Raw genomic sequence first — 16,127 nt, 5'->3', positions numbered from 1 at the left:
GGGGACACAGAGCCAAACCATATCACTCCACACCTTGCCCCTCCCAAATCTCATGTCTTCACATTTCACAACCAATCATGTGCTCCAAACAGTCCCCCAAAGTGTTAACTCATGTCAGCATTAACTCAAAAGTCCACAGTCCAACATCTCATTTGAGACAAGGCAAGTCACTTCTACCTATGAGCCTGTAAAATCAAAAGCAAGTTAGCTACTTCCTAGATACAATGGGGGTACAGGTATTGTGTAAACACAGCTGTTCCAAATGGGAGAAATTGAGTAAAACAAAGGGGCTACAGGCCCCATGCAAGTCTGAAATCTAGAGGGGCAGTCAAATCTTAAAGCTCCAAAATGATCTCCTTTAACTCCAAATCTCACATCCAGGTCATGCTGATGCAAGAGGTGGGTTCCCATGATCTTGGGCAGCTCCGCCCCTGTGGCTTTGCAGGGTACAGCCTCCTGCCTAGCTGCTTTCATGGGCTGGTGTTGTCTGCGGTTTTTCCAGGTGCATGGAGCAAGCTGTCAGTGGATCTATCATTCTGGGGTCTGGAGGATGGTGGCCCTCTTCTCACAGCTCCACTAGGCGGTGCCCCAGTAGGGATTCTGTGCTGGGGCTCCGATCCCACATTTCCCTTCTGTACTGCCCTAGCAGAGATTCTCCATGAGGGCCCCTCCCCTACAGCAGACTTCTGCCAGGGCATCCAGGCATTTCCATACATCTTCTGAAATCTAGGCAGAGGTTCCCAAACCCCAATTTTTGACTTCTGTGCACTGGCAGGCTCAACACCACATGGAAGCTGCCAAGGCTTACAGCTTGCACCCTCTGAAGCCACAATCCGAGCTCTATGTTGGCCCCTTTCAGCCATGGCTGGAGCAGCTGGGACACAAGGCACCAAGTCCCCAGGCTGCACACAGCATGGGGACCCTGGGCCTGGCCCAAGAGATCACTTTTTCCTCCTAGGCCTGCAGGCCTGTGATGGGAGGGGCTGCTGTGAAGACCTCTGGCATGCCCTGGAGACATTTTCCCCATTGTCTTGGGGATTAACATTTAACTCCTTGTTACATATGCAAATTTCTGCAGCCAGCTTGATTTTCTCCTCAGAATATGGGATTTTCTTTTCTATTGCATTGTCAGGCTGCAAATTTTCCAAACTTTCATGCCCTGCTTCCCTTATAAAACTAAATGCCTTTAACAGCACCCAAGTTACCTCTTGAATGCTTTGCTGCTTAGAAATTTCTTCTGCCAGATACCCTAAATGATCTCTCTCAAGCTCAAGGTTCCACAAATCTCTAGGTCAGGGGCAAAATCCCACCAGTCTCTTTGCTAACACATAACAAGACATAACCTTTGCTCTACTTCCCAAAAAGTTCCTCATCCCCATCTGAGACCACCTCAGCCTGGATTTCATTGTCCATATCATTATCACCATTTTGGTCAAAGTCATTCAACAACTCTCTAGGGAGTTTCAAACTTTCCACATTTTCCTGTCTTCTGAGCCCTCCAAACTGTTCCAACCTCTGCCTGTTACCCAGTTCCAAAATCACTTCCACATTTTCAGGTATCTTTAGAGTAGCACCCCACTACCTGCTACCAAATTACTGTATTGATCTGTTCTCATGCTGCTGATAAAGATATACCTGAGACTGGGCAATTTACAAAAGAAAGAAGTTTATTGAACTTACAGTTCCATGTGGCTGGGGAGGATACACAATCACAGCAGAAGGAAAGGAGGAGGAAGTTACATCTTATGTGGATGGCAGCAGGCAAAGAGAGAACTTGTGCAGGAGGACTCCCGTTTTTAAAACCATCAGATCTCATGAGACACATTCACTATCACAAGAACAGCACAGGAAAGACCCACCCCCATGATTCCATCACCTCCCACCGGGTCCCTCCCACAACACGTGGGAATTATGGGAGCTACAAGATGAGAGTTGGGTGGGGACACAGAGCCAAACCATATCAGGCAGTGAATATAATCACATGCACCTGAGGGTTGAGGGAACTAAGAGTGACAGCAGTTAATCCCTGGCCCAAGGGGTCACAGCCAGCAAGTTTCATCAGGTTTCAAACCCAGGTCCACACATTTACCCACTGTGGGAGACTTCTTCTGTTTATTCATAGTTGCTTTTGCCTACACACAAAATGAGTGGGTTACTGCTAAGTTTGATCAGTAACTACATTAGAAAATAGTAAGGCAGATTAAGAGAAAAAGATTCTCAATCAATGCTTCCTGATGATCCAGGGACACACACAGGTAAAACTGATGGTGGAAAAGCAGGTCAGGTGGGTAATGGCATGACTGCCTTGGCATAAAACTTTGTTGTAAATAAACAAATAATGATAACATTGATATATAAACTTAAATGACAATACTTCACTTTAAAACAAGACCATTAATAACAAAGAAATTGCCAAAAAAAAAAAAAAAAGGGAGGAGAGAGAGAAAGAGATGTAAATGGTCACACATTAAAAGAGAGATATATGAGTCATCAGCCTAATCCAGTATGTGAACGTCATATGGGTCTTGATGTTACAGAATCTCCAAATTTAGGTCTGTGCACCTGATGCATGGTAAGCCAAACACTGACACATCAGCACTCAGGAACAGAGAAAGGTTTATTCAATTTGACCAAAGCAAGAGGGCAGGAGAGACAGTCTCTCAAATCTGCCCTGCCTTTGAATTTAACTGGGGACTTGTATGAGTAAGGTGGGTATATGGGAGATGAAACTCCCCCAGTGATCAAAGCTGTTGGCATCCCTCTACCCAAATTTCTGGACACCATCAAGGAGGTCTGCATAACCTAAGGATCATGGTTCTTTAAAAGAAAAACAAGTTCATCAATCTGCCAGGCACCCCTGTAGGTTAGGATATGAAGTTAATCAATTATTAGTGACTACCCTCTACTGAAATAATGACATGCAAGCAAGCACGCATAGAGCAAGAAAAGGACAAGGGGAAAGGGAAAGTAGGTAAAACAAACATCGTATGATCTTTATAATAGAGGCTCAGTTACAGTGATTCAAACAAACCAACTCTGGGGTCAGTTACGAATGAATCAGTAAAATTTGTTCGTAGATTGGATAGTAGACAATACCAACACATTAGTACATTTTAGGTACAATTATTTTATCAAAATTACATTAAAAAATAACTTATCAAAAGCTATTAAAGGTAAGTCTAGGCTAAACACAGTGGCTCACACCTGTAATCCCAGCACTTTGGGAGGTCAAGGTAGAAAGATTGCTTGAGGCCAGGAGTTCAAGTCTGCAGTGAATAACGCATGATCGTGCCACTGTTCTCCAGCCTGGGCAACAGAGTGAGACCCTGTATCTAAAAAAAAAAAAAAGAAAAGAAAAGATTAAAGGTAAATGTAAATATGTCCGGTATTTGCCTCGAAATAATTTGAGGAGGGACAGAGAGAGATATAGATCAAATAAAATTGGCTGTGAACTGATATTGTATAATTGTTGGAGCTAGATTAGATGCATACCCAGGTTCGTTATACTATTCTCACTCCCTTTAAATAGTTTTGACGTTTTCCACCAAGAAAGGGTGTTTTTTTTTTTTTTTTTTTTGAGATGGAGTCTCGCTCTGTCACCCAGGCTGGAGTGAGGTGGCTCAATCTCGGCTCACTGCAAGCTCCGTCTCCCGGGTTCACACCATTCTCCTGCCTCAGCCTCCTGAGTAGCTGGGAGTACAGGCACCCGCCACCATGCCCGGCTAATTTTTTGTATTTTTAGTAGAGATGGGGTTTCACTGTGTTAGCCAGGATGGTCTCGATCTCCTGACCTTGTGATCCGCCCGCCTCGGCCTCCCAAAGTGCTGGGATTACAGGCATGAGCCACTGCGCCCAGCCGGCTAGGGTTTTTTAGAGTTTATTATAGAGCATTAGTTCTAGCACTTATCTAACCCATTGCATTGTTTTCATTCAATAAATAAGGGATGTGAACATTAATTATAAAAATAATATTTGAAATTAAAACATAAGATTAGGCTAGGCACGGTGGCTCACACCTGTAATCCCAGCACTTTGGGAGGCCGAGGCGGGCGGATCACCTGAGGTCAGGAGATCCAGACAAGCCTGACCAACATGGTGAAACCCTGTCTCTACTAAAAAAAAAATAATAATAAAAAAATAAAAAAAAATTAGCCAGAAGTGGTGGGACGCACCTGTAATCCCAGCTACTCAGGAGGCTGAGGTGGGAGAATCACATGAATTCGGAGGCGAAGTCTGCAGTGAGCCAAGATCATGCCACTGCATTCCAGCCTGGGTGACAGAGGGAGAGCCTGTCTCAAAAATAAAACAAAATAAAATAAAAAATAAGATTAGCATATACAAGCATTTTCACCCAGATTATTTCAATAAATCATGCCCTGTAGTTTCTGTTAACCTTTCCAGGAAAGAGCTGACATCAATCTCTACTCCTTCCCCAGCGCCTATGTCCTGGGTCTCTCATTCATTTCCTTCAAGTGCCCATGGCCAGAAAAGGGCATCCACAGAAGAAGGAGCAAGTCTAAGGGGTGCTGTTACCTGTTGATAGTTTTCCTTCAAGTGAAGGACAGAATGAACTCTCAGGGTTCTGAATATAGTAACAGTTCTCCTTCACCCTTGGGCATCACCCACTACCACAAATACCAATCCTTGGACCTAGGAAATCCAGAGGACCTCAAGAAAGTCTATCATCCCCACAGAGTTTAGATTGGTTCATTTGTGATTCCTGGGAAATATGATTTCAAGGAATTTGAGTGCCTCATAGGGAATGTAGAAAGGAAAATGAGGTTCTATCTCCTTCCCAAACAGACTAGGAAATGCTCTTAGCTAGCCATGAGGAGACACTGGCTTATGGCTGGTTCCAAGCTGGAGGTAAAAATGAAAATTCCATGTCCCTAGCAACAAAAGTATAAACCAAAGTCACAAAGCACTTATATTAAATCCAATTTCAGTGGCTGGTGTTTTATTCTGCTTCAGAAATTTCTTTTTCTTTCTTTCTTTCTTTCATTTTTTGTTTGTTTGCTTGTTTGTTTGTTAAGATAGTATCTCATTGTGTCACCCAGGCTGGAGTGCAGTGATGCAATCTTGGCTCACCGCAACCTCCACCTCCCAGGTCCAAGCGTTTCCCCTGCCTCAGCCTCCCTAGTAGCTGCGATTACAGGAGGTCGTCACCATGCCAGGCTAATTTTTGTATTTTTAGTAGAGACAGGGTTTCACCATGTTGGCCAAGCTGGTCTCGAACTCTGGACCTCAGGTGATCTGCCTGCCTCGGCCTCCCAAAGTGCTGGGATTACAGGCGTGAGCCACCAAGCCCAGGCCATGTTTCAGAAATGTCTTTGATAGTGAAGCACTAGACTTGTCCTGACATAGGATGGTCACAGCAGTCTGGACCCCACACCATGTGTCTCCTTGGATTCAAAAGTTTACTTGTGGTTGGGTGCAGTGGTTCACACCTGTAATCCCAGCACTTTGGGAGGCCAAGGCCAGAGGATTGCTTGAGGCCAGTAATTCAAGGCCAGCCCGGGCAACGTAATGGGACCCTATCTCTATAAAAAATTTTAAAATTAGCCAGGCATGGTAGTGTGCACCTATGGTCCCAGCCACTCGGAAGGCTGAGATGGGAGGATCCCTTGAGCCCAGGAGGTGGGCTGTGAGCCATGAGCTGTGATTACACCAGTGCATTCCAGCCTGGGCAACAAAGAGAGACATTGTCTCAAAAAAAAAAAAGTTTAGTTGTGTGTTATATATCATACATATGAATACATACGCAGCATTTTATTTCTAGAAGTGGCAAACAGTGAATACGCTTACCTGTTATCCTCTTTCCCTCAAGGGACTCCCTCACTTCTAGGAAGAAAAATTTCACAGACAAGTGAAAAGAGTGTTTCAACTTTGGCTGATTTATTCAGCCAGCTGTTCAGACATTCTTTTTAAGTGATGCTTGTCATTTACCTGTACTGGTTTTGGCTTTTGGTATTCAGAACACTCCAAATGCTTGCATTCATATGCCTTTCTATGAGTTTTTAAATGTGTTTGGGGGATTTCACTAAGCCCAGTGATTTAAAATTCTAAAGGTCAGGAAGTATATCACTGTGTACTTAAACAATGATCCTGCATGGTACAAAAATAAAATATTGATTATGCAAATTGACAAATGCATATTATCTATGATGCCATTGCAGAGTATTGAACTGAATTCCAGTCTGAAGAGTTCCAGCCTGTCTGTTCACAAACTATTTGATGTTAGGTAAATTATTAATGTCTATTAGCCTTTTTATAAAATAAGTGATGCAGATTAGGTGACTGTTGATGATTATTCAAAATCTCAGATGCAATTACCCTAATAACGCTTCAAATCACAACTCTGATTTTCTCTGGGGTAAGAATTTGATACATGATAATAAGCCTCCAAGAGGCTGCCTCAGCCCTGCACTCAAATATGCTATTGATAGAGACAGAAGCCAGCCATGGGTCCCCGGCGAAAGGGTCCCCACCTCCAAGCATAAAACAGCCTGAAGGCTGAAAAACCAAACTGCTGGTCCCAGATGAAACCCGCCCTTTCCCGACTGATTCTGAATAATGTCCACCTATGCACCGGGAGGACGAGGGCGGAGCCTTGGGAAGTCTGCACCTTTTGCAGCGGGGAGGAGCCTGGCCTCTTCAGTTCCTGGGTGGTGACCTGGGATTCAATCTGTGAGGCAAGAGACCTGCTGGCAGGACTCTCTCTCGCTTTGCTGAGAGTTCCTCTTTCCCATTTTCTTTTCACTTAATAAATCCTGCCCTACTCACCCTACAATGCATCTGCATGTCTAAATTTTCCTGGTCGCATGACAAGAACCCAATTTTTTTCTACAACACTATTCCATATCTTGGGAGCTTTATCTGAAAAATAGCCCTTTGCACAGGACATTCACTTCCTGAGGGTAGGTCCATCTGGGATACCAAATTGCAGATCACTGGTTACTTAATGAACTTAGGAGGAACATATGACACTGTGTTTCTGAAAACCTGCTTTCTTCAAATCAGGATAGCTAATTAGACTCCAGTCATTATAGAAAGACATCCATTTCGATACTCAACATTAATCAAGAAAAATCACAGCATTCTCCTTCTTCTGTGTAATACAAGAAAATGCCTTTAACTCTCATTTTAAACTGTAGGGAAGGAAAAATAATTTTCTTTCTAACTTTCAGAGTTCTTAGTTGAGATGGACCCCTGTAACAGAAGACACATTAACAAGAGAAAAGCAAACGGAAGTTTATTTATTTATTTACTTTTATTATTATACTTTAAGTTCTAAGGTACGTGTGCACAACGTGCAGGTTTGTTACATATGTATACATGTGCCATGTTGGTTTGCTGCACCCGTTAATTTGTCATTTACATTAGGTATTTCTCCTAATGCTATCCCTCCTCCTACCCCGACTCCACGACAGGCCCCAGTGTGTTATGTTCCCCACCCTGTGTCCAAGTGTTATTGTTCATTTCCCACCTATGGGTGGGAACATGCGGCGTTTGATTTTCTGTCCTTGCGATAGTTTGCTCAGAATGATGGTTTCCAGCTTCATCCATGTCCCTACAAAGGACATGAACTCATCCTTTTTTATGGCTGCATAGTATAGCAAACGGAAGTTTAATAACATATATACCTCATGTATACTGGGAGATACCCAAAGAAATGAGCAAATCTCCAAGAGGTGACTTAGAATTCAGGCTTAAGCACCATCTTCTGCTGAAACAAAGAAAGAAGGGTGTTGGGAAGGCCAGTAATGGGGATGTGACTGGAAACAGCACAGTAAATAAGAGTAAGGCTTGTTATGCAGATTTAGGTGGGTGGGTCTCTAGTAATTTAATCATCTTTCCCTTCTTCGTACAGAGAGGGAGACACACTTACAAATGGACATTTTTCTTTATAGGTGTAAGTTTCCCTTACAAAAGGGAAATGTTTGTGTTTTCAAAACTTCTCTTGTGTCTAGTGTCTAAAAATGATCAGCTCAAAGTAATCTTTACGCCAAAGAGGCATATTTTGGGGTAGCACGTCCTCATCTCATACACCACTCTGTACAGACCATGACCCTACAGCAATGACACTCCCTCAACTCTATTAGAAATAATTGGATAATAACTTCTTTTATACTATTTGCTTTCTCTTATCTGTAGCAGACACTTGTGGTGCCTCAACCACTTCCCTTGGCCACTAGATTTCAGCACTGCTGCGAAGGACAAGTCTGTGCAAGCAACCAGCATCCCACCTCAAGCTGTGCTGTGGCATCTCACAATTTGGATTTCTCTGCAGTCACTGAAAGCAACTCAGCCTGCCTCTCCCCTAAACAGGCACACTTGGAAGTGCATGGTGCCAAAGTGCCTCTAGCAAAACCCACAATCAATGGGAGACTGAATTAATAGACGGGTGTCCCAGTCTCCCTGTCCTTCCCTGAAACATGTCTGAGGGATTCCACAAAGTTTCTTAGAAGCTCTTCAACAGAATGGAGCCCCAGTTTTCCACAGGGGTAGCTAGCTCAATAACTCCATGTTTTCCCATGCCTCTACTCTCTCACTTCTGCTTCCTGGGATTAATTCCCAAAGAAACTACCTGAGCCCACATACTTGTCTCAGGCCCTCTGCTTTCAGGGAAACTCAAATGAGGACATTCTTCTCGAAGACAACTGGAAGACATTTCAGTCTCATGGACAAGACCCTCTAAGTTGATGTTCCCCTTAAGAGTGAGAAATAAAAATAAAATCCTGAGCCCCCCAACCAGCTGAATAGAACTCTCTCTTGGCAAAGGGTACTGCAGAGAAACCTTGAAAACTGTGCTCCTGGCCATGATGACATGGAAGATTGAACATGCCTCGTTCACCTCCCCTGCAACCTTGCTAACAGCCATGAGGCTTTCTTTCTTAAGGGTTAAACAGAAACCAGCCATTGGGAAAGACTGGCTCCGCCAGTGATTTCCACCAACCTTGTGACTATCCTTCCTTTTGCAGTTTTGACAAAACGACCACTCAGCTTTCCTTCCTGACAAAAGAACACCGAACATGAAGTGGCTCTGGCCGGTTTATAGAGGATGCATAGTGAGGGTTTTTGTGTTGCCTGCTTCACCTTTTGAGTCAGAGGGCTGAAAACTCCATCCTCAGATTATACTAATGCCACCATATTTTGAACATGATGCCCATGGACAGGCATGAAGCTCAACTATGTGCACGTTTCTCTTTTCGTATATTTGTGCCTTTTCCTATAGCTGATTAAATATGTATATTCAGGTGGGGCATGGTGGCTCATGCCTGTAATCCCAGGATTTTGGGAGTCTGAGACGGGAGGCTCACTTGAGGCCAGAAGTTCAAGACCAGCCTGACCAACATGGCGAAACCCCGTCTCTACTAAAAATACAAAAATTGGCCAGGCTTGGTGACACACGCCTGTAACCCCAGCTACTTGGGAGGCTGAGGCATGAGAATCACTTGAACCTGGGAGGCAGAGGTTGCAGTGAGCCAAGTTGGGGCCACTGAACTCCAGCCTGGGCAACAGTGAGACTCTGCCTCAAAAACAAACAACTGGAAGGCCGAGGCAGATGGATCACTTGAGGTCAGGAGTTTGAGACCAGCCTAGCCAACATGGTGAAACCCCATCTCTATTAAAAAATGCAAAAATAAGCCAGGCGTGGTGGTGGGTGCCTGTAATCCCAGCTACTCGGGAGACTGTGACAGGAGTATCACTTGAACCTGGGAGGCAGAGGTTGCAGTGAGCTGAGATTGTGCCACTGCACTCCAGCCTGGGTGACAGAGCAAGACTCTGTCTAAACAAACAAACAAACAAACAAACAAAAATGTATATTCAACCACCGCATTCAGCATAAATTCCTGTCTTATTCTTCCCTCCCTCAAAGTGCCGGTTTCTGGCTTCTGGCAGGAGGCTACACTTCCAACCCTGTCAGAATGGCCACCCGAGGGCTGCAATTCTTTATAAAAAACAAAGCTCACCTTTCTAAATTTATGAACCTCATCATTCTTCAGTTGACAAGAGAAACATTTTATTAGTCTTTCCCCAAATTTTGGAATTAGCCTCTAACGTAGTACATACATCCCCATTATGCAACCCCAAGTATTTCAGGCCTTTTAAGTGGCATCTCATTATCTGACTACCTACAGCACTACATGATTTCAATAAAATGGTCAGTGGTGAAATTGCTGAAACCTAAAACTAGAATACAAGGCAATCTTCCCATGTACCTAAGAAGAAATCTGTGGTCATATTTTCAACATGAATGCCAAAATTCTATACATGCTTTTGTTTGTACAGACTACTACAGTATATAATACAGAGCTGGATGCAGTGGCTCACACCTGTAATCCCAGCATTTTGGGAGGCTGAGGCGGGTGGATCACTTGAGGTCAGGAGTTCAAGACCAACCTGGCCTACATGGTGAAACCCCGTCTCTACTAAAAATAGAAAAATTAGCCAGGCATGGTGGTGCACACCTATAATCCCAGCTACTTGGGAGGCTGAGGCAGAAGAATCACTTGAACCTGGGAAGTGGAGGTTGCAGTGAGCCAAGATCGTGCCATGGCACTCCAGCTTGGGTGACAGAGCAAGACCCTGTTTCAAAAAAATTAAAAATAAAATTTATATATTTTTAATTATTTATTTGTATATAAAATATGTATAATAAAATATGTTATGAAAAGTACAAAGACTGCTAAGATTTCAAGCTGTTTCGATAGGATTTTTTGTATTGAAAAATCAGTACTAATTTTCAAATGTAAGACACAAGAATTTAAATATCATAATGAGCAACTCTTTCAAGGAAAATTGAAAAGAGATAACACAGAACCTGGTGACATTTTTACAACAAATATATTTTTAAGATTTTGAACTTTAAATTACAACCAATTAAGTAAAACCAGTTCTATTTTAATACAAAATCATTATAAAATATGTATTTGTTGAATTGTTTCATTATTTTTAGAATAATGCCAGTTAAATGCTTCTTCCTCTGGTCTAACATAGAAGGTTTGTTAATGAGAGAAGAAAACTTCTTATGTCTGCTGGAGTCAACACAGTTTTTCCAAGATGGAGAATTTGACACATTCAGAAGTTAATATTGGCTAAAAGAGTTACGATAATTGGCCTTTTTCGGATCATATTAGATTGAGTCTTCTCGAGTCGCTAAATCATTGTTCTTAATTTTCATTGTCTTAGAATATAAACTAGCTGACTTGGAGTCAGGGGTTCAATTCATTTTGAATAAGACTTAACACCCCCCCTTACATTAATAGGCTCTTAAGGCTGTTACTGCTTAGGAATGGTTTGGGTAATGAATAGGTGTATTGTCCCTGAAATTAAACTTGCTTTTAAAGCAAGGCAAAGACTTTTTGCAATTAAAATGTTTGAATCTTTTTGAAACATAAAATAACTACTTAAAGGAGTAAATATATGTATATTCATTAAATTCAAAAACAAATTTCCATCTACAAAATCAGAATTCTCTCATCAGTTCTTACGGTAATTTTATTTATTACTTTGCTTTCATTTGAATTTTTTCTTCATGAATTGTCTTCCCTTTAAAGAAATGGCTTTTTACAAAATACTAATAGTGCCTCACATTTGCTTGGCACTTTCAAGAACCGAAATGACTTTAACTTAACATTTTTTTAACTGAGGCCCAAAAAACTTTGTCAGACAATGATAATATCCTGTTTTACTGAAGAAACTGAGGTCACACTGCTAGTAACTGGCAATATCCGCATTCAAATCCAGGTCTTCCAGCTCCAAGTTTAACAATAAGCCATTTGTTCCACAAGTATTAACATTTCCAAAAAGAATTCTGTAAAAATCACTTCAAGCATTCCACAAAGTGAAATAGAAGCACAATTCTCAGCAGTGGTATTCAAAGTCAAAAAGGGAGGTTTCTCCCTCATGGAATGAACTTGAGCAGTTAGTTAAGCAGAGAACACCAGCTCATCTAGAAGAGTCGATGGTCACCTCCCAGATTTTTGGACTCTAGGAAACATGGTTTCATTGAGCCTGCAAGACAACTGCAGCAAACTGATAAAATATGATAGCTTTAAAGGATTCATTTTGATCTATCCAGTCATTGATCCATAAAGTAAAAAATCTCTCTTAAGTACAACTTGACACAATAGACTGTGAAAATTCTGTGGGACCTGTTGGGGTTTATCACATGAATGGCATTCTGCATTCATTTGATAGATAAGAGCAAATCTTAGAGACATGCTAATGCTCAGGAAAGAAGTGACCATTGATCAATGACATGACATGGTAGGGCGTTAATCATGCAATCCCAACCAAATGTCCCCTGTGGTTCCACCTGAATAATCCATGACCTGCTTCTGTGTGTTAATCTTAACTTTACTGTGTGTATTAGAGTTCTCCAAAGAGATAGAACCAATAGGCGGGAGATAGATAGAAGATAGATAGATGTTACTAGAAAAAGGGTCTTGTCCCAGACCCCAAGAGTGGGTTCTTGGATTTCAGACAGGAATGACTTCAGTGTGAGTAGCAGAGTAGAGTGAAATTAAGATAGTTTACTAGAGACTACTCTTATTACAGAGTAGGGCATCCTCAGAAAGCGAGAGAAGGAACGCCCCTACGTCAAACATAATGCTTGCTTATATACAATGTTAGAACTAAGAATAATGTGCTTTATTATTATACAAAGGCTTGTGATTAGCTTGTAACAGTCTATTAGTATTGTTCTTCTTTTGTTTACCTATTGATATCAGCAAGAATTTATGGATGTACTATAATCTTTAAAGCGAAACCTATTCCTAAACTAAGAATGCTTTTTATTCTGTTGCATAGGCTGGGGTGCAGTGGCACAATCATGGCTCACTGCAGCCTGGATGTCCCCATACTCAGGTAATCCTCCCACCTCAACCTCTTAAGTAGCTGGGGTCACAGGTGTGTGCCATCACTCTTGGCTAATGTTTGTATTTTTTGGAGAGATGGAGTTGCACTATATTGCCCAGTCTGGTCAAGTGATCCACCTGCCTCAGCCTCCAAAAGTGCTGGGATTGTAGGTGTGCACCACCTTGCCTGGTCTGTTCTTAAGATATCTGGATATCAGGACATTTCCTTAAGTTCTGGGTCTTAATTAGCATAATTAACTTGTTCCTTCAACCATAAACATCTTATGACCAAGAGTACCTAAATTCCTGGGAATGTAACCTAGAAGGTCTCACTTCATTCAGCCTTTATTGAAGAGTGAATCACTCTGGTTTGGATGCCAATGGCAGATAGTTACATAGATAACAGGAAATTTATTAGGGGAATTGGCTCACATGATCATGGAAGCTAAGAAGTCCCACCATAGGGAGTCTGCAAGCTGGAGAATCAGGAGAGGTGGCAGCACGGGTCAGCCCAAGTCAGAAAGCCTCAGAACAAAAGAAGCTGACGATGTAACTCTCAGTCTGAGGCTTACAGCCTGATTACACAGAGGGCTGCTTCTTTTATGAGTCCTGGAGCCCAAATGCTGGAAAACCTGGGATTCTGATGTCCAAGGGCAGCAGAAGAGGGTGTTCCAGCTCCAGAAGAGAGAGAAATCAAATTCACCTTTTCTCTGCCTTTTTGTTCTATGTGGTCCCCCAGCCGATTGGATGGTGCTCACCTGTGTTGAGGGTGGATCTTCCCGGTTTAGTCCATCTAAGAGATTGGTGTGACACACCCAGACAGAATGTCTTACCAGTTATGTAGGTATCCATTAATCCAGTCAAGTTGACACCTAAAATAAACCATCACACTATGCTTCTGTCTTACTAGCAGTTATAATTTGAGGAAATGGATCCCTATCCTTCATATAAAATGTATGGCACTCTGTGACTTAGTAAAGTAATAAATGACTTAACACCTGTGGAAAATATTTAAAAGCATTAACATTGATGTTACAGTAAGGTAGCATCACAAAGTCCAGGACTATTTCTTAGGAGCAAAGAAATAAAAAGGCACCATAACAAGGCCAGGTGCAGTGGCTCATGCCTGTAATCCCAGCACTTTGGGAGGCCAAGGCAGGTGGATCACAAAGTCAGGAGATCGAGATCATCCTGGCTAACATGGTGAAATGCCATCTCTACTGAAAATACAAAAAAAAAAAAAATGAGTCGGGCGCGGTGGTGGGCGCCTGTAGTCCGTCCCAGTTACTCGGGAGGCTGAGGCAGGAGAATGGCGTGAATCTGGGAGGCAGAGCTTGCAGTGAGCCGAGATCGTGCCACTGCACTCCAGCCTGGGCGACAGAGCGAGACTCCATCTCAAAAAAAGAAAAAAAGACGGCATCTTCATGGAGGGATGGCCTGGCCGAGGCCAGCAGAGCCTAAGCAGAATGCAACAGCACCCGTGGATGGTGGAGAGTAGAATGGCAATGGAAGCTTAGCCACATATAGCGGACTGTTGGAGGGAAACAGGTGTGATGAAATAAATAAATATATTCAGTATAATTGGCAAACCAGGTTTCTCAACTGTCAGAGAAGAAAGCTACAAATATTGAAATGAAAGAAAAATAGAATGAACTCAATGGTATTGAACTGAAATGGAAGGAATTGGTATGAATTTATAAATGTATATAAATGTAGACATATAAGTAACATATATATGGGTGCATGTCTGCATATTATTATATATTCCTTAGTTTTTGTCCTCTGAAACAGTCTGGAGGCAGTGGCACCCCAAGAGTAATGAGTACATTTAGCAACCAAATCTTGGCTTCTAAATACTATTCTCGTTACAAAGAAACAGGACCCTTTAGCAAAATGACCAATTCCTGGATGGGAAAGAAAAAGTACAAAATGAGCCTAGAATCTTTTGCTGTACCAGAAAGTCAGGAAATACTTAAAGAATAATAGAGAAATATCAAAAGATTATAAAAGCAATCAAAGTGGTGCCCACAGCAACAATTGGAACATTAAAATAAATAATCATAGTAGTGGATTTTAGTCCATTAAATAAGTAGACCACAAATCTATAAAGGTATAAAGAAAGAGGCCAGGTGTGGTGGCTCATGCCTGTAATCCCAGCACTTTGGGAGGCCCAGGCAGGTGGATCACCTGAGGTCAGGAGTTCATGACCAGCCTGGCCAACATGGTGAAATCCTGTCTCTACAAAAAGTACAAAAACTAGCTGGGTATGGTGGTGGGTGCCTGTAATCCCAGCTACTTAGGAGGCTGAGACAGGAGAATCACTTTAACCCAGGAGGCAGAGGTTGCAGTGAGCCGTGATCATGCCATTGCACTCCAGCCTGGGTGACAAGAGTGAAACTCTGTCTCAAAAAAAAAAAAAAAAAAAAGAAAGAAAGAAAAGAAAAAGAAAAGATATAAAGAAAGAAATGAATAACATGAAAGTTTGAAGAGGAATGAGATGTTTGCAGAGTTTTAAAGTACTTCACCATGAAATACTTATTATTTCTTAAAGAGGAAAGAGTAAACGACTGTGAAGAAACCTGGCAATCACCACTTTAACCCAGTTATCACAGAGGCATCATCAGTAACTGAACAAGTCACAGTCATGCACCACAGACAGCATGCAATGAGGGAGCAGCATTATTTCTGTGATATCCCTGCCAAAGATGCATGGATTTAATCATGAGATAAAATCAGCCAAATCCATATTAAGTGATAGTCCACAAAATATCTAGGCTATGAGTTTCAAAATTGTCAAATTTATGAAACTCAAGAAAAAATTTAAACTTTCCAAAGCCTACAAATGCTTAAGAGACAGGGCAGTAAAATGCAGCCCATGATTCTAAACTGGATCCTCTTTCTACACAACTGGCAAGCTTGATGTTAATAATATCAAGGTTAATTTCCTGATTTCAATGGTTGTATTTTGTTGTATGATAGTGTCTTCATTTGTAATCTACCGAGGCATTCTGGGGTCATAAGGCATCGTATTGGCAATTTGCTTTCAAATGGATGAGGAGAGGGAGCAAAAATTCTTTGTATTTTCTTCCAACTTTCTTGAAATTTTATTCTTGTTTAAAAAAATGTCAAGCTTGATGAATTGTTATAAATATTTGGTATATATTATTAAATGCATAAGTATATGACATTAAATTTTCGTAAAATAAAATGAATATATATAACCTGTAAGAGTTGCACTCCATACTTTAAATGATGTTCTTATTG

At 41.8% G+C, this 16,127-nt stretch overlaps 1 long non-coding RNA gene across 2 annotated transcripts in view; it reads right to left on the bottom strand.

Moving 5' to 3' along the window:
- Positions 1 to 1,649: 1,649 nt before the first annotated feature.
- Positions 1,650 to 16,127, bottom strand: part of APP-DT (APP divergent transcript) — a 46,518-nt gene continuing 32,040 nt past the window's right edge. For both annotated transcript variants that reach the window (NR_186396.1, NR_186395.1), the window contains 2 exons: positions 4,173 to 4,289; positions 1,650 to 3,332 (listed from right to left, as the gene is read on the bottom strand). This is a non-coding gene — a long non-coding RNA (APP divergent transcript). The remainder of the gene's footprint in view (positions 3,333 to 4,172; positions 4,290 to 16,127) is intronic.

This window comes from Homo sapiens, chromosome 21 (genome assembly GCF_000001405.40).
Source record: "Homo sapiens chromosome 21, GRCh38.p14 Primary Assembly".
Taxonomy (NCBI): Eukaryota; Metazoa; Chordata; class Mammalia; order Primates; family Hominidae; genus Homo; species Homo sapiens.
This window is presented reverse-complemented; position numbering and strand designations above follow the sequence as displayed.